The sequence below is a fragment of the Homo sapiens genome, chromosome 3, assembly GCF_000001405.40.
Source record: "Homo sapiens chromosome 3, GRCh38.p14 Primary Assembly".
In the NCBI taxonomy this organism is placed as follows: domain Eukaryota; kingdom Metazoa; phylum Chordata; class Mammalia; order Primates; family Hominidae; genus Homo; species Homo sapiens.
This window is the reverse complement of record NC_000003.12, coordinates 33,360,329-33,384,655: the sequence shown is the minus strand read 5'-3', so window position 1 is coordinate 33,384,655 and position 24,327 is coordinate 33,360,329. Positions and strand designations below refer to the sequence as shown.

Below are 24,327 nucleotides of genomic sequence, written 5' to 3'. Positions count from 1 at the left end.
CATTTTGAAGAAGTTTAAGGTGACACTATTGTACCAGATCAGTTTGCATAACTATTGCATAACAGGAAATGAGTGTTGATTGATCGATTTATTTTGAGATGGAGTCTCACTCTGTGGTGCAGGCTGAAGTGCAGTGGTGCAGTCTGGGCTCACTGCAACTTCTGCTTCCCAGGTTCGGGTGATTCTCCTGCCTCAGCCTCCCGAGTAGCTGGGATTACAGGTGCCCACCACCACACCTGGCTAATTTTTGTATTTTTAGTAGAAATGGGGTTTCACCATTTTGACCAGACTGGTCTTGAACTCCTGACCTCAAGTGGTCCACCCACCTTGGCTTCTGAAAGTGTTGGGATTACAGGCGTGAGCCACCGCGTGCCTAGCCCCGGTCTGATTCTTGATGTTTTCCTTTGGTGCTTAGAAATGTCAGGTGTGACTGACTCCCCTGCCCCATACCTACCCGCATCCGCTTGATGCCTGCACGGGTAACCTGCTGGCAGTCGTACAGCTCGAGGCGCTCCAGGCCTCGGCAGTTCTCTAGGTGTTCCAGGGCCACATCAGTGATGAGGAGGCAGTTGTCCAACTCCAGTACCCGCAGCCTCTCATGGCCACAGGTACTGTTGCTCAGGTGCAGGATCCCATCATCTGTGATGAGTTCACAGTGGGACAGGCTCTGGAACAGGAAGACATGAGTAAATGTTTGCAGGACCCTTATTCCAAGGCTCAAGTCCTAAAAAAAAGCTGGAAGCTAGCCTTTTTGCCCTTCTGCAATGGGATGACACAGCAAGAATGCCCTCAGCAGATGCCAGCCCCTGGACTTCCCAGCCTTCAGAACTATGAGAAGTTTCTGTTCATTACAAATTATCCAGTCTGTAGTAGCAGCACAAAACAGACTGAGACATTTAATCAGGCAGTGAGGACCAAACACAAAGCCTTGGGGCCCTTTGGTTATGGGTTTGCTACACTGGGAGTGGCTTCTCTCTTCTAATTGTGTAAAGATGGAAATAAAATCTTCAGGGGAGATTTCAGTTTACCCCCTTGAGAGCAGTTTTATTGGCCAGTTCTCCATTTGAGGGGATGCCAGTGAAATCAATGCATCTAATGTCCTTGTTCATTTAGAAAATTGCACAAATAGCTGAGACCCAGAGATATACTGAGCATCTTTGAAGGTTATAATCAAATAGACCTTGAACAGTGTGATCTGACATTACTGACTTCTCTTGGGTAAACAGTAATGGTTGCAAAAGATAAATTCAGATGAATATTATATAGCCAAATGACATTTATGTAATTCTCTTAAGTTCTCTATATCAAAAACAGTTTCAGACCTGACAGTTTCCCCCAGTGCATATCAAATGTAAGATTCACCCCACCATAAAAACTAGAGAGGCAAAAGTACTGTATCAATTCCCATTTGTTCATTTGTTCCTTCAAATAAATGAGTTCTAACTCTGTCCCAGCCCCCACGTGTGCAATGATGAGTAAAAGTATACTTCTCTGCACTGGCAGAGCCCAGACTGGAGAGTCTATAAAATCAAATAATGCTAATCTTTTAAACTGAAGCTGAGGTGCTTTGAGAGCATATGATAGCAGGATTTGTCCTGGGGAACAGACCACTGAGTTGATATTTGAAGGATTAGGAGCTAATCCTAGGAAAGAGAGCAAAGAGTTTGTTGTGTGCAAGGCCCAGGGGTAGCAGGAGAACGGCAAGTACTGTTTAGGAAGAAGGTCAACATATAATAGGTGGGAAATAAGAGGACGCATGTAGATGCAGATGGAATTGGGGAGGTAAGGGCCAGATCACAGAGTTGTGTAGGTTATGTAAAGAAATTTAGTTCTGATTCCAAGGTCAGTGGGAGGAGTTGTAAGGAGAATGTGATGTTACAATTGTTTTTCAAAAAAGATGGAAAATAAGTGTTGGTGAGGATGTGGAGCAATTGGAAGTCTCATATGCTGCAGGGGTTATTTCGATGTTTCTGACTGAAATGCATACATGTGTTAACCAAAAAACAGGAATACTGGCTGTAATGGCCCCAAACTAGAAGCAGTACTCAAATATTCAAAAGTAGAGAAAGGATAAATAAATCACAGTGTACCCATTCTATAAAGCAGTGAGAATGAACAATATACAACTACATGTAACAATATGGATAAGGAAACCAGATGAGTATACATGATAATTCCATTCATATCATTTAAATAAAATACAAAGAGGCAAAACTAATATATACTATTTGGAAGTCACGACTTTTGGGGGATCAGTGATTGAAAGGGAGCAGAAAGGGCCTTTCCGGGGTCATGATAATGTTGACCTTTGATCGGGGTGTATTCAGTTTATGGAAATGCATTGATCTATACACCAATGATAAATGTGCTTTTCTACATGTATATTTTACTTCAGTAAAGTTAAAATTTGAAAAACCACTCTGCCAAATTTTTTAGTGCGAAAGTGGATACAGTTTAGAGCAAGTGAATGGCTACTGCAGTCTATGAAGCAAGGAAATGTCTGAGAGTTTGGACTTGACAAGTCCTGGCAGAGGAGACCTGAGTGGATGGGTGTAAGGTATTCCTGCAGAATAAAAAAATCTAAGACATTGCAGTACTGGTTGTAACAGCCCCAAACTAGAAACTACTGCTAGAAACTAGAACTACTGGCTATGTAACTAGGCAGCAGAGTACCACCTCGAGGGAAGGGAAGCTAGAGGAGAGGAATTCTGTTGGACCTTGATGCTTTAAAGATTCTTCTCTGAGCTTGATCTTAACAATGTGGAATATATTTCCTTTCTCATGAATCGAATCACTCTACATGGTTTACATCAAATAGTATTTATGTAATCAATGCTGTTCATTGGTTTTTAGCTTTTAGAATTAAGAGTAAAGCCAGAAAACTGGTTCTTTAGGAGGCTGTTTAAAATTGGTAAATAAAAAAATAGAAGTTTGATTACTTACAATAAAATGGAATGAGAAAAAAAGTGTCTCTCTGTGTATGTATATATTTCATTTTCTTTTTTTTTTAAATTTTTATTTATTTTTTTTTGAGATGGAGTTTCACTCTTGTTGCCCAGGCTGGAGTGCAATGGCGCAATCTCGGCTCAACGCAACCTCCACCTCCCAGGTTCAAGCGGTTCTCCTGCCTCAGTCATGCATGCGCCACCACGCCTGGCTAATTTTGTATTTTTAGTAGAGGCGGGGTTTCTCCATGTTGGTCAGGCTGGTCTCGAACTCCCGACCTCAGGTGATCCACCCGCCTTGGCCTCCCAAAGTGTTGAGATTACAGGCGTGAGCCACCGTGCCCAGCCAATTTCATTTTATTTACATATGGATTCACACGTATATACGTGTATATTTACAAACACAGATTGGAGAAAGATGATGGAGATGGTGTATGAATGTCAATTTCTCCATTGTTTTAATATAGGGAAATTCAGAAATCAAGAAGTTAACAGTAACATATGAGACTGAGGAGATACTGTTATATTAATTGAAAAACTTATGTACTGGCATATTCAAGTATTCATAGAAATTTTTAAAAACTGATTTAAGGAAAATCAGAGGGTGCTTGACCTGTTCTGAGTTAACAGGAAAATCCGCTGCCAACATGGTTCACACAGCAGTGGGGCCTTCTATATTAACACTAACAACGTAGTCAATAGTCAAAGCTGTCTGGTTCGGGCCAATTCTGCAGAGTAAGTGTCATTATTCCCTTTTTACAGATGACAGCATTGTGGCTCAAAGAACTTGAGACTTGCCAATTATACCCAGCTCAGGTTGGCCTTAAAGCCTTTTCTCCTGTCATGCACTGTCACTCATCCCTGGCAGGAGTGATGCATTCTGGAAGCGAGCAGCTTATATCACATTCCTGACTCAGAGGTGGTTACTTTTAATTGCCATCAGCAGGTGTCTTCTGCTCCCATGGATGTGGTGTGGATGTGTGTGCATGAAAGAGACAGGGAGGAGAGGGACAGAGAAAGACAATCACTTTTCATTGCACAAAGAATTTCTCAAAAAGGACAGAAACTGGCCACAGTGATAGTTATCCCTGTGTAGGGAACATGGCAACTGGGGATTTTTCTCATATTCCTGGTACTTTTTTTTTTTTTTTTTTTATGGAGTTTTGCTCTTGTTGCCCAGGCTGGAGTGCAATGGCGAGATCTCAGCTCACAGCAATCTCCCCCTCCCAGTTTCAAGCAATTCTCCTGCCTCAGCCTCCCTAGTAGCTGGGATTATAGGCATGTGCCACCATGCCTGGCTAATTTTTTGTATTTTTAGTAGAGACAGGGTTTCTCCATGTTGGTTAGGCTGGTCTCGAACTCCCAACCTCAGGCAATCTGCCTGCCTCGGCCTCCCAAAGTGCTGGGGATTACAGGCATGAGCCACCGCAGCCGGCCTGGTACTTTTTAAAGTAACTTTTTCTTTTGAATTTTTTTTTTTTTTTTTTGAGACAGAGTCTCACTCTGTCGCCAGACTGGAGTGCAGTGGTGTGACCTTGGCTCACTGCAACCTCCGCCTCCCAGGTTCAAGCAGTTCCCCTGTCTCAGCCTCCAGAGTAGCTGGGACTACAGGCGTGTGCCACCACGCCCAGCTAATTTTGGTAGTAGAGATGGGGTTTCACCATCTTGGCCAGGATGGTCTCAATGTCCTGACCTTGTGATCTGCCCACCTCAGCCTCCCAAAGTGCTGGGATTAGAGGTGTGAGCCACCGTGCCCAGCCCTCTTGAATTTTGTCAAATTCTTTTTCTGCATTAGTTGATGTGATCATGTAATTTTTCTTCTTTAGTTAATATGGTTGATTACATCAGTCAGTTTTCAAATATTAAACTACACTTGTGTCTCTGGAGTAAACCCTGCTTGGCCATGGTATTATAATTATTTCTATATATTGCTACATTCTATTTGCTAATATTTTGTTACAGATACTTGCTTCTATGTTTATGAGGAATATCGGTCTGTAGTGTTTTTTTTTGTTTTTGTTTTTTTTTTGGTACAATTTTTGTTTGGTTTTGATAACAGGGTATTACTGGCCTCATTAAAAAAAAAAAGTTGTTTTGGGAGGCCGAGGCAGGTGGATCACTTGAGGTCAGGAGTTCGAGACCAGCCAGGCCAACATGGTGAAACCCCGTCTCTACTAAAAATACAAAAATTTGCTGGGCGTGGTGGTGCACGCCTGTAATCCCAGCTACTCGGGAGGATGAGGCAGGAGAATAGCTTGAACCAAGGAGGCAGAGGTTGCAGTGAGCTGAGGTCGCGCCACTGCAGTCCAGCCTGGGTGACAGAGCAAGACTCTGTCTCAAAAAAAGAGTTGTAAAATGTTTTACTGTCTTATTTCCTAAAACAGAGTGTATAGAATTGATGCTAATTCAGGTCAGGTGCGGTAGCTCACACCTGTAATCCCAGCACTTTGGGAGGCTGAGGCAGGCAGATCACCTGAGGTCAGGAGTTCGAGACCAGCCTGGCCAACATGGTGAAACCCCGTCTCTACTAAAAATACAAAAATTAGCCAGGCATGGTGGCGCATGTTTGTAATCCCCCCGCAAGGCTGAGGAGGAGAATTGCTTGAACCTGGGAGGTGGAGGTTGTAGCGAGCTCAGATTGTGCCACTGCTTTCCACCCTAGGCGATAGAGTGAGACCCTGTTTCAAAAAAAAAAAAAAGATGTTCATTCCTTAAATGTTTGGTAGAGTTCCCCAACAAAACCATCTGGATCTGGACATTTCTCTTTTGGGAATCTTAAAATTGCAAATTCAATGAAAGCAGTAATCAAATATTTAGATACCTTGCCTCCCAAGTTAGCCCAATTAATAGATTTTTGAAATCAAGAGAGATGATACCTTACAGAAAGAGAACCCAAACAGCTTCTTGTTGTGGTGGGAGGGCTCTTTCATCTTTAACAGGTGAATAATGTCAGAAAAACTCAGACTCACCAGGGCTTGCAGTTTAGGACAGTGAATGGAGAGCTGGATGAGTGTGCTGTCGGTTATCTGGAGAGAAACATGCTGTGTCAGTGTGGCTTCTACACCAGAACTTAATACCTAATCCTGGCTTCTCCTGAACACGAGAATCAAAAGGTGTAAAAGAATTAAAAACTCATCTCAAACACTCTGGGGCTGGGAGCTCCTCTCTTCACCAGCACTCTAAAATCTGCCCACTTCTAGAGATGCAAAACTGTTCTTTGTCTCTCTTCTGGTACCCCAAGGAGGCTTGGGGCAAGGGACAAAGAGGGAGTGGGCAAGGAGGGTTCCCAGGATTCTCCTCTTTGGAGTCACCCCATCACTGGACATGCAAGCTTATTTTATAGAGCTATCCTGAACTTCTCTTCTGTAGTTCTGTCTGATGACTGAGAATGGCCAAAAGTTCACGCATCCACTGCCATGGCCTTCACAGGTTTCCAAGCCCTGCCACTGAGGTTGATCAAGGAGGGTCAGGATGATAGCGAGTCAGTGTCTCTGGCTGTGCTGCACTGGCCAGCAATGACTAAGGAGCAGGCTGCCCTGCAGGGCTGTCAGGAGTCCACTCACCAGGATGCATTCTTCAAGATCCATCTTCTCCAATTCGTGGCAATTCTGGAAGAGTCCACAAGACACACCCCACATGTGAGTCAGTGGTGACAGCAACAATGGTGGCTTGCCCTATCCCTCTGAGTATTGGCCCAGTGTCCTTGTTCTCTTCTGTTAAGAAGTATGCCCTCTTCCTAAAGCTACCCAGTAAACCAGCACTTCTGAACAGCTGCCTTTTGAGTTACAGTGCTTTGGAACTGGGAATAGGGCTGCCTCTGGCTGCATTTCCTTCTCTCAACTTGTAAAGAGAGTTGTCTACAACCTTCCCAGTGGCTCGCAGACATCAGCAGGTAAATTTTAGCCATAGCCTAGACTCTGGGAGGGCATGGGGATGGGGCACTAAGCCACACTGTGGGGGTTGGGTGGAGGTAGCCAAGTATATCAGCAGCCCCAGGAGGACATGGGTTCCTGGCAGCAGGTCCAGAGGGGCCCCCAGTGGTCAGTGTTTGCAGGACAAAGGGCAGAGTACAGCCCAGTTAGGGGGAGCTGCTGAGAGGCCAAGTTGGGGTCCAATGAGGAATGGAGTCTCCTGCCAGGAGGAGGCTGGTCCCACTTGACCACGCGTGAGGCTCAGACTCTTTACAGAACCCTCTATAGGACTTCCCTAGATTTCTGGCTAACTGGAAAAACTGCAGTACACACCCCAAGGGTTCTACTCTACTTTGTGCCTGTCTTTTCTGAAGGTAGTCTTTTGCACACCCAAAACCACTCCAAGTCACTTTGAATTCGGGAGGTGAATTAGAGTTTGGTTGTATTCTTTAAATCTATGCCTTACCCGAGCTAAAAGTGTAAAACCTGCGTCAGTCAAATGGGAGCATCGGGCAGCCTCCAAAATTCTGAGGAGAAAGTGGGTACAGGGGAGAAAACGGTACCAACTAGTTAATAATGGAAACACATATTTTATGATGCATACTTGAGTCTTTTCTGCTCTTTGACATGCTTTTGCCTCTGTTAACAGCCCTTAGGGAATGTGACCTGCCCAAAGCCCCGAAGTTCCATCCCAAACTTGGAAAGTAAATCCAAGAATCTTCCTGCTTTACCAGCATGTTGTTTTTAAATAGTATTCTAATATTTGTTTTTTGGTTTTGTTTTTGTTTTGTTTTGTTTTGCAAACAGCGTCTCATACTGTCACCCAGGCTGGAGTGCAGTGGAGCATCTTGGCTCACTGCAGCCTCCGCCTCCCAGGTTCAAATGATTCTCCCGTCTCAGTCTCCCAAGTAGCTGGGACTACAGGTGCCCGCCACCATGCCCAGCTAATTTTTGTACTTTTAGTAGAAACGGGATTTCATCATCTTGGCCAGGCTGGTCTCAAACTCCTGACCTCAGGTAATCCACCCACCTCGGCCTCCCAAAGTGCTGGGATTACAGGCATGAGCCACCATGCCCAGCCTTGTTCACTTTTTAAACACATTTAAAATGAACTTTTCTCAACAAAATCATCTTGAGATTTACTCCATTTATGGAAATTCCCAGGTACCCTAAAGGAAATTTAAAAAATTTGTGGACAATGAAAAATAAGTTAATTCTCAATTACCCATGCTTAATAGGGATGGGTGCATGAATAACATTTCTAAGTTAAACACTCCCTTACAGCAATAATTTTGACCTCCTTTCTGGCCAGTTTTGATCACCCAAATTCCTTCTACTAAGCAGAAATATCTAAATGATATAGTACCTTCTCTACAACAGTAAGAAAAATTGGTAAAAGCAGAAATATACAATTCTTAAAAGATACAGAACTGGTGTGAGCGTGGGAATGGATCAGTTTCATTGGGAAGTAGAGATTTTTAAAAAGTATCTTTTTTTCTGCCTCTTGGATAAAGTTAAAGGTTGCTGGTTCTGAAGTCAACTATTGTTACCATTGTTAAAATTTTAATATTCATAGCTGGTAATGATAATCTATTACCTTGAGGATGAGAATACAAATTATTGTTTTTTTTGTTTTTTTTTTTGAGATGGGGTCTCACTCTTGTCACCTAGACTAGAGTGCAGTGGCACAATCTTGGCTCACTGCAACCTCCGCCTCGCGGGTTCAAGCAATTCTCCTGCCTCAGCATTCCGAGTAGCTGGAATTACAGGCACCTGCCACCAACCAGACTAATTTTTGTATTTTTAGTAGAGACGAGGTGTCACCATGTTGGCCAGGCTGGTTTCGAATTCCTGACCTCAGGTGACCCACCCACCTCAGCATCCCAAACTGTTGGGATTACAGGCATGAGCCACCATGCCTGGCCTAAATTATTATTTGTTAAAAACTTTTTTTCCTACTGGGGAAGAAGCTAAGTAAGAAGGTGATTGTGATATTCCCCTCATTCTGTCCATTTGGCAGCAGTTCTGGAGGAGAAGCTCATGTCCTTTGGATGTGAGGCTATCACTCTCCTCACTATGTGCTCACTCGGGTGCTTAAAGCAATAACATGATGAGGTAAATTAGGTGGGAAACTGTGTGACATTCATTAAGAAATTAAAGTTTGGATTCACTGGTGGTAGACATTTTATACTCTCCCAGTACATCCTCCAATGAACTGGATTTATACACGCCCCACCCCAATTTACCCAACAAAAGCCAACAACAACATAACTACTGCCTCCACCACCACTACCTGGCAAGCCTGTCCTCTCCTGAAGGAAGCCCTCTTGGTTAACTCAGCCAAACTCTGAGCTGCAAAGCAAAAAGTGCAGTGTACTCACTGCAGTCGCGGACAGTTCAAACCCAGGGCTGTAAGAGAGGCATCTGTGAGGTTGCTGCAACCCGAAAGGCAGAGAGCCTGTAGCCGGTGACAGCCCCTGCATATCTGCACCACACCTTCATCCGTGATACGCTGAGGAAAAGCAGCACAGAAAGAAAAGTCAGAGGACACCAGCAATACCAAAACGGGAGCAGCAGAAAAGTATCTGCTGTTGTTCAGTTTTGGTTGCTGATTACTAGCATTTTATCCAAATAACTTCAACAAAATAAGTAGAGGGTAGACAGGTACTTGTGTTATCTCTGCACAGCTTTAAAATATTTCAGCAATTTAGATAAGATACATGCATCCAGGAAAAAATAAAGTAAAAATTTTAAATAATATAAATGGAGAATAAAAGTTTAAAATTCCATTTCTCCCTCACTAGTCATCAAAATATAGATTTTTTCATAAAATTTATAAACTCATAATTTAAAAATCTGATTAAAGAACTTTTGAGGCTTTCCTAGTTTAACTGACATTAATATTTGATTGGATTTCTGCAGATTAATGCTTTAGATATTTACAATATACACATATATTTATATTTCATCAAATGTTTTAGACAATAGGAAAATTAAATAAATCACAAAATTATTGATAAATACCTTAAATTCTATGAATTTGGCCATGAAGATTCAAAATAATATGTTCACTTAAACAGACTACTTCATATAGAAATAAACACGCACATCTATATTATACTTCAAGCCATCAGCCACTGCTATGCTACACGTAAGTCAAGGTCCTATTTTTGAGTAGTCCTGGCCCATATGGTCAACGTTTGTCCATAAGATAGTTTCTGGTTTTTTTCCCCACCACTAGGGACTCTAAAGATTTATAATATATTCATTTAAAGCTGAATGCAAGGGTTTTCCCTTACCTTTCTCAAAATCTATGTTCCCCTTGAAAACCTGGTAGGATGTAGCAAGCATCCTCTTCAATTATCAACATTTACAATGGCAGTGGAGAAGGACCAATAGTTTTTCATAGGCTAATGTCCTGATGAAAATGCCACCTTGCTCTTGCCTATGCGTTTTATTCTTTAAAGCATTTTTGCATGTGTTATTTCATTTTATCCACTGAAACAACGTGAGAGGAGTCATCATCCTTAATTTATAAGTTAAAAAAAAAGACACTTCATGTCTTAAAACTATTTAGTGACCAATTCACTGCATTCCTCAATAGCGTCCCTAATACTCTATTCAACAAAATCAAGACCTAGTCTGTATTATTTTTAGGGGAGATGTCAGTGGCTTTATATTGAGTATGATTCCTTTTTGTTGTTGTTGTTGTTCCAGCTTGTGACAAATTGGTAGGTTATATAAGGACACAGGATGGAAATCAGGGTGTGGCAACACAGCCCATCTCAGGTGCCTAGGGGGCTGCAGGGAGGCCTGAGGCAGACTGCTTTGGGAGACAAGATAGAGCAAACAGTGTTCAGGAAAGGCACGCTACTTACTGAGCAGGACTGCAAGTTGAGGCTCACAAGCTCATGGCAGTAATTCTGAATGTGTTTCAGAGCTTCATCTTCTAACTGAGTGGACAGAGAAAACAAAAGACAGCTGGAATCCAGGTGAGGGAACAGTGGGACACCAAGAAAAATGCAAAAGCAGCTTTCTGGATGATGTGCCCACACCTGACACATAACACAAACAGCTGTATCAACCCTCTGGTACCTGTGTGCAGCCCCTCAGGAGCAGGGCTTTCAGGCCTCGACAACCTCGCACCAGTGCCTCGATGCCATCCTTCGTGATCTGATCACACCAAGAGAGGTTCAGGTACTCCAGGTTTCGGCAGCCCTCACTGAGAGAACAAGAAACAAAAACTTATGTGCAGTCTCTCCTGTAGAGAGTTAATGACCAACTCTGAGTTTAGTACATCACAAGAAATTCCGAAGGGGAGACCATGCCTGGGACCTCTTGGAGTCACCTATTTCTTGCTGGATCCAACGTGACCATTAAGAAGGTTTCCAGAATGTTCATAGCTTTGGGTATTTCTCTTGACACAAACAATGGGCACTCTTACCTGATCCCCTTCAAGGAGCTGTTTGTAATAGACACACAGGAGGTCAGATCCAGATGTTTCAGCTTGGAACAGAATCTGCTAAGGCTATAACACGTGCTGAAAAAGAGCAGACGCACTAAAGATATTTTCAACCACGTTTCTCTCCCTTCTCTCTCCCCGTGGCTATTTGGTCACCAATTAATCTTCATTACTTACCTGTCAGTGATTTTTGTGCATCCATTGAGGTTCAAATGTTCAATGTTTCGGCAGTTCTGTGCAAAGGTCCTAAAATGAGAAAACATTTTAAAGCTCCCTGCAAGTTGCTGGACAGCCACTAGAGGGCATATGAAACCATTCACGCTTAGAACAGCGCTCCCTCAAACTTAATTAAAGCGCGTAACAATCAGCTAGGGTTCTTGTCACAGTGCAGATTCTGATGATAGATCTAGAATGGGGCTCGACAGTCTGCAGTTCAAAGAAACTCCCAGGTGATGCCAGTGCTGCTAGTCTAGGGACCACGTTTTGAGAAGCAGAGTCCTAGACTACCTATCAATCAGTTCTCCTTTACCCACAGCTTGGTGAGTCATCACCGAATCATGAGAATAGAGGCCTAGCTCCCTGCTCCCTCCGCTCTACAAAAAAATCAATTTGAACCAAGGGGGCAAATCTTCTAGTACTGTGCCATGCTGTCACTTGCTTACCCTAGAGCCTTTCCAGAGAAACCATTTCTGGCGATTGATAGAAGACGTCTAGCAGTTAATCAGTATCAAGACCCACTCATTTTACTGGTGAGGACATTCAGTCATGAAGAGGAACTTCCTCATTGATCTGTGGGTTGGTAGCAAGGCCAGAAGCAGCACATTAAAACGCCCTATTCACCACTCACTGCTTAACATATTCAGCAAGGACTAGCTCAGGTCGTCTCCATCATTCTGAAATACAGCTTTGAGATTTGCTCCTTCCAACCTGCCCTGGTACCGGTAGGGGGAACCAAGCCTGATGGGACTGTCTGAGATGAAGAAATGGGGCTGAAATTCTAGGAAGACCAAGGCAGCTGGAGTTATCTGGCAAGAGCATTGGAGTAGAGAGAACGTCACAAAGAGAACTCCAGAGATCTGTGGAGGGTGCCCCTCAAGAATTAAGTACAGGCCAGGCATGGTGGCTCATGCCTGTAATCCCAGCACTTTGGGAGACCAAAGCAGGAGGATCCCTTGAGCCCAAGAGTTTGAGACCAGCCTAGGCAACACAGTGAGACTCTATCTCCAAAACAACAACAACAACAAAAAGAATTCAGTACCACACTGATCAATGTATGCATGTGATGAAACTACCCAAAGCCCAAGGCCAGGGAATCAGAATGAACAAAAAGCATTAAAGGAAACAGTAGCCAGAGCTCACCGAGGGCAAGGAATAGTGCCCATTTCTACCAACCAAGAGTGAAAAATGCCACAATTCTTGGGGCATTGGGTAGAGTATTGAGAATAGTCTTCCTTTAGGAGTGGCGCATAATTAGCCCTAAACACTGCTTTGGTACAACCTAACAAATCTTAAAAACAAGACCTAACAGGAACTATTCCCAATTAAGTCAACTGTATCCCAGAACAAAACCTGAGTATTTATAGGAATACAAAAATATCTGCACCCAACAAAGTAAAATTCAAAATGTCTGGCATTGAACAAAAAATTATCATGTTTTCATAGAAGGAGGAAAATATATCCACAATAAAGAGAAAAGGTAATCCACCAAAACCTACTCTAAACTGACACAAATAGCATAAACAACAAAGGTATTAAAAGTTATAATGTTATTGCCTAGAATATATTTCTATGAAGCTAACAATTAAACATGTTATGTAGACACATGGAAAAATAAGAGATCCAAGTTAAACTTTTAGATATGAAAACCGGCCAGATGCAGTGGCTCACACCTGTAATCCCAGCACTTTGGGAAGCTGAGGCAAGCAGATCACTTGAGGTCAGAAGTTCAAGATCAGCCTGGCCAACATGGTGAAACCCTGTCTCTACTAAAAAAAAAAAAAAAAAAAATTAGCTGGTATGGTGGCACATGCCTGTAGTTCCAGCTGCTTGGGAGGCTGAGGCAGGAGAATCACTTGAACCCGGGAGGTGGAGGTTGCAGTGACCCTTGATCACACCACTACACTCTAGCCTGGGCCACAGAGCGAGACTCCATCTCAAAAAAAAAAAAAAAATGAAAACCACAATGGCTGATATAAAACTTTACTGGATGAGATTAACAACAGATTAGATATGGCAGAAGAAAAGATTAGTGAACTTGAAGACATAGCAATAGCAACTATCAAAAACGAAACACAGAAACAGAAATAGAACAGAGCATGAACGAACTGTAGGACAACTTCAAGCAACCTAATATACATGCGATTGGAATCACTAAATAAGAGAGACAGAGGAAGAAGGAAAAAATACTGAAGAAATAATTGCCAAAATTTTCCCCAAACTTTATGAAAACAATAAACCCATAGACCCAAGGAACTCAAAGAACCACAAGTGCAAGAAACATGAAGAAAAACACACCAAGGCATATAATAACCAAATTGATCAAAACCAGTGACAGATTAGCCATGCGTGGTAGTGTGTGCCTGTAGTCCCAGCCACTTGGGAGGCTGAGGTGGGAGGATCACTTGAGCTCAGGAGGTGGAGGTTACAGTGAGCCAAGGTGGTGCCACTGCACTCCACCCTGGGTGACAGAGTGAGACTCCAGAGAGAGGAAGAGAGAGAGAGAGAAACCAGTGATAGGAAAACCCTAAAAACAGCCAGAAAACAAAGCCATGTTATGTACAGAGAATAAAACATAAGGGTGACAGCAGATTTATCACTGGTAATGAAAAAGCAAGAAAACAGAGGAGCACCATCCTTAAAATACAAAAAACAAAAAATAGTCACTACAGAATTCTAGACTCAGCAATTTTTTTTTTTTTTTGAGACGGAGTCTCGCTCTGTCACCCAGGCTGGAGTGCAGTGGTGCAATCTCGGCTCACTGCAAGCTCCGCCTCCCGGGTTCACGCCATTCTCCTGCCTCAGCCTCCCAAGTGGCTTGGACTACAGGTGCCCGCCATCACGCCCGGCTAATTTTTTTTTTGTATTTTTAGTAGAGACGGGATTTCACTGTGTTAGCCAGGATGGTCTCGATCTCCTGACCTCATGATCCGCCCGCCTCAGCCTCCCAAAGTGCTGGGATTACAGGCGTGAGCCACTGCACCTGGCCCAGCAAAAATATTTTTTTTAAGTGGAGGAAAAAACAGATTTTTTTAGACATAGAAGAGCTGGAAGAATTAATCAGACTTGCAGTAAAAGAAATGTAAAAAAACTTCTTTATGCAGAAAGAAAATGATACCAGATAAAAATATGTGTCTACAGAAAGGAATGACTGGACATAGCAACTACTTGGGTGTATACAACTTTTAAATTTAAATCTCTTAAAAATAGGCCGGGCACTGTGGCTCATGCCTGTAATCCCAACACTTTGGGAGGCTGAGGCAGGCAGATCACTTGAGGCCAGGAGTTTGAGACCAGCCTGGCCAACTGGGCAAAACTCTGTCTCTACTAAAAGTACAAAAATTAGCCGGGCGGGGTGGTACATGCCTGTAGTCTCAGCTACTTGGGAGGCTGAGGCACAAGAATCACTTGAACCTGGGAGGCAGACGTTGCACTGAGCCTAGACCATGGTACTGCACTCCAGCCTGGGTGACAGAGTGAGACTATCTAAAATAATAATAATAATGATAATAATGATAATAATAAATCTCTTAAAAATAATTGGCTGTTAAAGATACTAAATCTATTATGAAGTTTATGTAAGTAGAATTAAAATGTATGACAACCGAGTGAGGAGAAGTGGAAGTGTTATGTAATACAATATGAAGGTAGACTGTACTAAATCAAAGATGCAGTCAATAAACTCTAAAGCAACAACTAAACATATGAAGAGCTATAGAAATGAAGCTAAAAAAGAATATAAAATGAAATCATAAAAAACACTTAATCTCGGCCAGGCATGGTGGCTCATGCCTGTAATCCCAGCACTTCGGGAGGCTGAGGTGGGCAGATCATTTGAGGTCTGGAGTTCAAGACCAGCCTGGGCAACATGGTGAAAACCTGTCTCTACTAAAAATATACAACTTATCCAGGCAAGGTGGCCCATGCCTGTAGTCCCAGCTACTTGGGAGTCTGAGGCACGAGAATCGCTTGAACCCAGGAGGCAGAGGCTGCAGTGAGTCGAGATTGTGCCACTGCACTGCAGCCTGGGCAACAGAGCAAGACCCTGTCTCAAAAAAAAAAAAATCTAAAAGAAGAAAGAAAAAGAGGAAAAGAGAAAAAAGGATGTATGGGACAAATAGAAAACAAACAGCAAGAGGGTAGATTTAAACCTAACCATAATAATCACATTAAATGCAAATGGTCTAACACAAATTAAAAAGCAAAGATTGTCATATTGGATAAAAAGCAACACCCAGCTGGGCACGGTGGCTCACGCCTGTAATCCCAGCACTTTGGGAGGCCAAGGAAGGCGGATCACAAGGTCAGGAGATCAAGACCATCCTAGCTAACATGGTGAAACCCCATCTCTACTAAAAATATAAAAAATTAGCTGGGCGTGGTGGCACACGCCTGTGGTCCCAGCTACTCGGAAGGCTGAGGAGAATGGCTTGAACTCAGGAGGCAGAGGCTGCAGTGAGCTGCACTCCACTGCACTCCAGCCTGGGCGACAGAGCAAGACTCCATCTAAAAAAAAGGAAAAAAAAGCAACACCCAACTATAAAAAATCAACTTTAAATATAGATACAAATAGATTAAAATAAAATGATGGAAAAACATATATAATGCCAACACTAGTCAAAAGAAAGCTGGAATGACTATATCAGACAAAGAAGATTTTATAGTAAAGAAAACTATCAGGAATAAAAGAAGGACAATCAATGAAAAAGACATAGCAATTCTAAATGTTTATATACATAGTAACAGAGCTTCAAAATACTTGAAGCAAGAGCTGATAGGACTGTGAGGAGAAATAGACAAATGCAAAATTATAGGCAGATATTTCAATACTCCTTTTATTAGTTGATAAATTAGTAGTCAGAAAATTAGTAAGAATATAGAAGATCTGCTCAACACTATCAACCAACCTGACCTACTGGCATTTATGGCACACTTCATCTAACAGCAGAATATACATTCTCTTCAAGTGCACATGGGACACTTGCCAAGACTGGCCATATTACTGGCCACAAAACAAGTCTCAATAAAATTAAAAGGATTCAGGGTATAACTATGTTCTGTGATCACAACTGAATTGAATTAGGAATCATTAACGTGCTCTTCTGGAAAATGTCCAAATATTTGGAAACTAAATAATATTGTTCTAAACAACCCATGGGTCATGGAAGAAATCAAAAGGGGAATTAGAATGCATTTTGCATGAAAATGAAAACATAGCATATAAGAATTTGTGGCATAAATTTTCCCCAAAGTATTGACTTAGTTTATGTCATTAAACTCCCATACTAGAAAAAAAGGTCTCAAACCAATGACTTCAGCTTCCATCTTAAGAAACTAGAGAAAAAACAAAAACAAAAACAAATGAAGCCCAAAGTAACCAAAAGGAAGGAAATAATAAAGATCAGAGTGGAAATAAATGAAGTAGAAAACAGAAAAACAATGAAAAATGGGTGAAAACAAAAGCTGGTTCTTTGAGAATATCAATAAAATTGATAGACCTCTTAATAGCCAGACTGACGAGGACCAAAAAAAAAAAGACAACAATTACCAATTTCAGAAATGAGAGGGGATATCACTGCAGATTTTACAGATATTAAAATAAGAGGATATTATAAACAACTTAATGCTAATAAGTCCAGGAACTTAGGTGAAATTGACAAATTCCTTGAAAGACGCAGACTACCAAAACTCATTTATGAAGAAATAATCTGAAGAGTTCTATACATATTAAAGAAATTGAGGCCGGGTGCGGTGGCTCACGCTTATAATCCCAGCACTTTGGGAGGCCGAGGCAGGCAGATCACCTGAGGTCAGGACTTCAAGACTAGCCTGGCCAACATGGTGAAACCCCCGTCTCTACTGAAAATATAAAATTAGCCAGGCATGGTGGTGGGTGACTGTAATCTCAGCTACTTGGGAGGCTGAGGCAGGAGAATCCTTTGAGGTTGCAGTGAGCCAAGACTGTGCCATTGCACTCCAGCCTGGGCAACAAGAGTGAAACTCCATCTAAAAAGAAAAAAAAAAAGAAACTGACTTTGTAATTAAAAACCTTCCCCCAAAAAAACATGTAGGAGCAGACGGCTTCAATAGTGAATTCTACAAAACATTTTTAAAAAATACAAATTGTACATAAACACTCCCAGAATTTTTTAAAATTGTTTTTTTATTTAATTTATTTATTTTTGAGATGGAGTCTCGTTCTGTTGCTTGCTCACTGCCAAGCTCCACCTCCCGAGTTCAGGCCATTCTCCTGCTTCAGCCTCCCGAGTAGCTGGGACTACAGGCACCTGCCACCACGCCCAGCTAATTTTTTGTATTTTTAGTAGAGACAGGGTTTCACTGTGTTAGCCAGGATGGTTTCAATCTCCTGACCTAGTGATCCACCCGCCTCAGTCTCCCAAAGTGCTGGGATTACAGGCATGAGCCACCGCACCCAGCCAAATTGTTTTTATTTTTCAGAGATAGAGTCTCACTCTGTCACCCAGCTTTGAGTATGGTGGTGTGATCATAGCTCACTGCAGCCTTGAACTCCTGGGCTCAAGTGATCTTCCCACTTTAGCCTCCCAAATAGCTAGGACTACAGGTATGCACCACCACACCCAGCTACTTAATTTTTTTTTAGAGATGGGGTCTTGCTGTGTTGCTCAGGCTGGTCTCAAAATCCTGGGCTCAAGTGATTCTCCCACCTTGGCCTCCCAAAGCACTGGGGTTATAGATGTCAGCCACTGAACACACCCCCAGAAATGTGAATAGGAGGAAATACTTCCCAATTCACTCCATGAAGCCAGTATTACCTTGATACCTACACCAGACAAAAGCATTATAAGAAAATAAAATCATAAGACAATATTCCTCATGACCACAAATGCAAAATTTTTTAACAAAATTGTAGCAAATAGGATCCAATAATATATAAAATAAATAATACATGGCAATTCAAGTGTGCTTTATATGAGTGATGGAGGGTTGTTTAAACATGTTTAAAAGAGCCAATCTAATTCATGATTTAAAGAATTTTCTTCATTTAAGGAAAATCATTTTGTTCCATAACATTTAAAGTGAGTGTTTTTATACTTAAAAGATGTTGTGAATCAATTTTTTTTCAGCAATGGTATAGCAGATGTTTGAATTATAAATTCTACTGTCTGCATTCACTGTATGTTGCACATTCTTACTGGAAGTCTGTGATTGCTGTACATTGTGGTAATATTTAGGTCTGCAAGAACACAAAGTGTATTCCAAGGTTATGGGGGGTATATCCTAATTTTAGCCAAACTCATAAGCAATACTAGAGGCCATGAGGATAAAGACATGAAGGTTTTAATCATCTCTGTCTCCAGAAATCCTCAAAGCACAAATTGTTGTTGGTTTGTTTGTTTGTTTGTTTGTTTGTTTGTTTGGTCGAAGAGTCTCATTTTGCTGCCCACACTGGTCTCAAACTCCTGGCTTCAAGGGATCGTTCCACCTCAGCCTCCCAAAGAGCTGGGATTACAGGCATGAGCCACTGTGCCTGGCCAGTACACATCCTTAGCATTGATAACATTCCCAATAGCCTGGGTGCAGTGGCTCACACCTGTAATCCCAGCACTTTGGGAGTTCAAGATGGGTGAGCTCAGGAGTTCAAGACCAGCGTGGCCAACATGGTGAAATCCCATCTCTACTAAAAATACAAAAATTAGCTGGGCATGGTGGTGCACGCCTGTAATCCCAGCTACTCAGGAGGCTGAGGCAGGAGAATCACTTGAACCTGGGAGGCAGAGGTTGCAGTGAGTTGAGATTGTGCCGTTGCACTCCAGCCTGAGTGACAGAGTGAGACTCGGTCTCAAAAAAAAAAAAAAACCCCAATAAATAATGGCTATCCAGTAAGAGATGGGCAAATATTTGGTTGTATAGGATATATTGCTAACTGTAATAAAATTAATGTAAAAATCACATCTCATTATGAGTAAGCAAAATTCTAGCTTATGCCAAGGAAATTTTTGAAATAGTTATTTTATCAATTAGTAAAATTTATATATAAAGGTAGCTAATATTATGAGAGGAAAACTAGGAAGATGCCGAAGTGAAGAAGGGAATAGAAAAGAGGTAGGCACTTCATACATGTTATTTCTTGTTATGCCTATGACAGTCCTGTGGGAGCTATAGCTGCCCTGACTTTGCAGAAGAGAGAACTGACACTCGGCCGGGGGAAATAATTTGTCCCAAGGTCACATCCCTAACAACAGTACAGCTCGGTTTCCAACCCAGGTTTGCTATTCCAAAGTCCTGGTCCTCTCATTACTCTATGCAAATTACCACAGAAAGAATTTTAACAGAAGAAGAGCATGTAATAGGCTTGGTTTATTTTTGCTGATGAAAATGCTACAAGCTGCCATGACAGTGAGTCACTGGATTTGACTTACTTCAAGGAGGAATCCCCAACACCAATGCAGCCTCGCAAGCTGAGCTTCCTCAGGAATCCACCGCATCGCTTCGAGATATTTTCCACCACTCGACCCTTTAATCAAGAAAGTTCGGGAGGAAAAAATACTGTTTTTTCATGCTGCTTATCTAACAGCAAAATAACCTGAAATCTAGGAACTGAATATATTTTTCCAAGTGTAACAGAAAATATTTTGGAACATTCCTGTAACACCTCAGTTCTATCCTTAATGCATACAGGGGCTGCAAGCACTGAAAAATGGTCCAATTAAAGCATTAAGTATTCTAAAACCAACCAACAAACAAAAACAAACACAAATGCAAAAACCAAAACCTGTACACTGCCTTTTGAAAGCCTTAGCCCTGGGGTTAGGCCCTCCCTACCCAGGTCACAGCTATTCCACCAACCAAAAGGCTTTTTGAGGTTAGCTGTGGGAATACCAGCCACTGAGCAGAGATCTAAGACAATGCTGCTTTAAAAAGAAAATCCTACTTGAGCTAAGCATTACCACTTCAAAAGTATAACAATATATTGCAAAAGCTCCCCCTCATCCTCCTTAGCTGTCCTCTGCTTAAACACATTTGCTTTGAAAAAGGAACTTTTGTTGAGTACTGGCAGAGATATTAGAGGAAGCAAAAAGAAAATGAACAATGAACAATGATTAAGCACCTCCACTTTTTAAAAAATGTTTTCTATTTCAAATCACTTTTTTTCTTTAGAGACAGGGTTGGTGTTGGGGGGTCTCGCTTTGGTGCCCAGATTGGAGTATAGTGATGTGGTCATAGCTCACTGCAGCCTCAAATTCCTGGGCTCAAGTGATCCTCCTGCCTCAGCCTATGGAGTAGCTAGGACTACAGGAACATGCCATGGCACCTGGTTTACTTCCACTTTTTGAGGAACAATTTCTTGTACCTATTATGGCTCATTTAATAGTCAAAAAACTTCATGAACACTCCCAAAATGGAGGTAAGAAAGAGTATGTGTGGAATACAGAAGATCCCTTAGGGCATCCTGTAGTACTACCATGCCCTGTGATTTATGTCAGTAGCAAACTACAACAACCCAATCCAAGCACGACTATTAATGACCAGACCTTCAGGAATAAAGGTCTGAGTCATTCCACCAGGTAAAGAACCATCACCAGCTGAGGTGCTTGCTGAAGGCAAAGGAATACAGAAATGCATTGTGGAAGAAGGTAGTTATAAATACTAACTACAACCTCTACCTCCACAAGGGAGGAAAAGTTCAAAGGGACAATTTGATTGGTTTTGAATAATGTTATCCTCATTTTATAAAACAGCAATCTTGGCACTGAACTGTAAGCATGATGAATTCACCAGGATACATCAAAACCACAGGGGCCAGGTGCAGTGGCTCACGCCTGTAATCCCTGCACTTTGGGAAGCTGAGGAAGGTGATTCACTGGAGGTCAGGAGTTTGAGACCAGCCTGGCCAACATGGTGAAACCCTTTCTGTACTAAAGATACAAAAATCAGCAGAGCATGGTGGGGCATGCCTGTAGTCCTAGCTACTTGGGAGGCTGAGGTAGGAGAACCGCTTGAGCCTGGGAGGCAGAGGTTGTAGTGAGCCAAGATCATGCCACTGCAGTCCAGCCTGGGTGACAGAGCAAGACTCTGTCTCATAAAAACAAACAAACAAAAAACCCCACAGGATACATATTGTTACCTAGCTAACATCTTAATTATGTTGAAAATCCAATCTTTGATACTGCTAGCATTTATTTATACTTTCTTGAGACTACTTGCATTAATGATTATTAATATTTTTTGAAGCAAAATTCCAGACAACTGTAAAATAAATCTTTGTCACCAGGGGGAAAAAGATTATGACTTAGAAATCAAAGATATATATTTAAGTACCTAATAAACAGGAAAAAAAAAAGCAGCTCTACACCAATGTCTACAAATAGAGCACCTAATATACTCTTCTCCATTTCAAGTTAGTAACATTTTTTTAAATTTTATTATTATTATACTTTAAGTTTTAGGGTACATGTGCACAATGTGCAGGTTTGTTACATATGTATACAGGGAATTGAACAATGAGAACACATGGACACAGGATGGGGAATATCAAGTTAGTAACATTTATATAAACTTTCTAGTCCTCCCCTTTTGGGGCAAAGTTCTTGTACTGGAATACAAAACTACATACACAATTTTCTGTTCCACTGTTTCCAACTAAGAGGGGGAAAATGCAAATCCATTTCAGTGCAATATTCAAGCCAGTGACTCTGTGTCTTATCTACTAGACAATATGTTATAGGCATGCTTTTAGAATGAAGGGCTTTAGAGAAAAATAAGCCCTAAAATGGGCTAAAGACCCCTGGAGTTATCACTTTTAGATTCACACACTACTTAGTTATTTCTCATTTTTGGCCTAGCACAATCTTCAATAACCATGAAGACACTGACAACAAAATGTCCAAGTTTTAAAGGCACAGAAAATGCCAACCCAAACTTCAGGTAAACTACACGTATTCAGGAAAGAGTGATGAGGAAGGAAGGTACCGTGTGCACTTGTCACCTAGATGCTTTACTCTGCCTTTTCTTCATGTGCCAGTCATGCAACCCACCGTTCAAGATACCTACAGTCTCCTCTTAGTAGGTGAGTGACCTTGGGTAAGTTACTCAACCTTTTCTTTGCCTCAGTTTCTTTAATATGGTACTTACAACAGTGTCAGGCACACAACAAATATTATTAGTGTGTTGATCCTGATCCTTGGCAACTTCTCTTTTCTCTCAACCATATCCAAAAGTTACCATTTCCTTCCCAAAGTGCATATTTTTAAGACTATCCATAAAATGCTTCCTAGGGCAAGCATCCTCCAAAGGGTCTTGTTTAAGGACTATGGCAGACCCCAAGACTGGTTCATAATCTAGGGTGGACCAAGGGGGCTAGCCCAAAAGGGAAGCTAAGTGTTATGACTAGATTGAAACTCTGGTGCCAGCTATTTTAGGTTTTCACATACAATTCTTTATATAACTGGTAAACCATAAACTGGCTTCCCCTTTGGTGGATATACTTTTAAGTATTTCTGGGATGTGTTTATATGGCAGTTAGCTGAAAGTCAGCAGTCAGCTAAAATCTTGTAATCAAATAATGCACAAGGTAGTGATATTTACTTGAAATAGTAGTACTTTTTAATATCAAAATAATTTTTTTTTTGAGACAGGGCCCCACTCTGTCACCCAGGCTAGAGTGCAATGGCACAATCAGAGCTCATTGCAACCTCTGCCCCCTGGGCTCAGGTGATCCTCCCACCTCAGCCTCCTGAGTAGCCAGGACTACAGGCATGTGCCATTGTGCCTGGCTAACTTTTGTTTTTTCATTTTTTTGTAGAGACGCAGTTTTGCTATGTTGCCCAAGCTGGTCTTGAACTCCTGGGCTCCAGTGATCTGCCCGCCATGGCCTCCCACAGTGTTGGGATTTCAGGTGTGGGCCACTGCACCCAGCCTGACTTTAAAAGTTCATGGGAGGCCGAGGCGGGCGGATCACGATGTCAGGAGATCGAGACCATCCTGACTAACATGGTGAAACCCCGTCTCTACTAAAAATACAAAAAAAAAAAAAAAAAAAATTAGCCGGGCGTGGTGGCAGGCGCCTGTAGTCCCAGCTACATGGGAGGCTGAGGCAGGAGAATCGCATGAACCCAGGAGGTGGAGTTTGCAGTGAGCCGAGACCACGCCACTGCACTCCAGCCTGGGTGACAGAGCGAGACTCTGTCTCAAAAAAAAAAAAAAAAAAAAAAAAAAAAAAAGTTCTTCATGTGCTTTCCAAAAAAGTTGTATGGTTGGAAAAGTCATCAAAATTGAGGAGACATGAAGAACCACAGAAAAAGAGTAAGTATTTTGCTCAATTTTTTCAAAACAATAACTCTACTTTGTGGTCAGTAGAAATGACTACAATTTTTAGAAATTAAATGTCCTCCACATCATCACTAAGTAAACATAGTGAACAAAGAGTTAGGTATGATCAGTTTGAAGGGCAATTATATTCACTGGCATGGAATGCTGGCATGTTTAGGTGGAGTACTATTGTAATCACTGCTGTTAAGTCTCAAAAGAGCACTAAAGAACACCTAATTCAGAAACTACAGTGTTAAGCCAGGAACTAGAGCTTATCTTTCCAGGATGGGCGTGAATCCTTGAGGTCCCTGCCCCCTTCCAAGAGCAGAGCACCACAATATGACAGAAATAAGGGGTTTCCCCCTTTATTTAATAAAGGGAAATCTTCTGCTCTGCCCCACTTACTGTAAGTATTGTGCTCCACTGGTTTAAGATGAGAACCAGAGACTCTCAGGCAGTAAGTAACCTAGAGAAGGAGGTGAAGAGTCTCCACAACTGACCT

At 41.9% G+C, this 24,327-nt stretch overlaps 1 protein-coding gene across 26 annotated transcripts in view, besides 1 other annotated feature; it reads right to left on the bottom strand.

Moving 5' to 3' along the window:
• FBXL2 (F-box and leucine rich repeat protein 2) overlaps positions 1-24,327 on the bottom strand; it is a 145,674-nt gene that overhangs the window by 38,043 nt on the left and 83,304 nt on the right. For 12 of the 26 annotated variants that reach the window (NR_146122.2, NR_146121.2, NR_146123.2 and 9 more), the window contains 10 exons: positions 19,937-20,031; positions 11,496-11,564; positions 11,301-11,396; positions 10,952-11,078; positions 10,735-10,809; positions 9,238-9,368; positions 7,323-7,383; positions 6,509-6,553; positions 5,915-5,971; positions 455-667 (listed from right to left, as the gene is read on the bottom strand). Coding sequence is in view for 10 of the 26 variants with exons in the window: in NM_012157.5 (NP_036289.3) it covers positions 455-667; positions 5,915-5,971; positions 6,509-6,553; positions 7,323-7,383; positions 9,238-9,368; positions 10,735-10,809; positions 10,952-11,078; positions 11,301-11,396; positions 11,496-11,564; positions 19,937-20,031 (969 nt within the window). In the remaining 16 variants the exon portion in view is untranslated. Of the gene's footprint in view, positions 1-454; positions 668-5,821; positions 5,972-6,508; positions 6,554-7,322; positions 7,384-9,237; positions 9,369-10,734; positions 10,810-10,951; positions 11,079-11,300; positions 11,416-11,495; positions 11,565-19,936; positions 20,032-24,327 lie in introns of all 26 variants that reach the window. The other 14 variants (NR_146124.2, NM_001349319.2, NM_001349321.2 and 11 more) reach the window with 4 other exon arrangements.
• Positions 2,513-2,713: a silencer, noted in NCBI's record as "peak4598 fragment used in MPRA reporter construct". NCBI's record gives its function as "represses an SCP1 promoter by STARR-seq MPRAs in K562 erythroleukemia cells {active_cell/tissue: K562}" and the evidence as "EXISTENCE:reporter gene assay evidence [ECO:0000049][PMID:32103011]".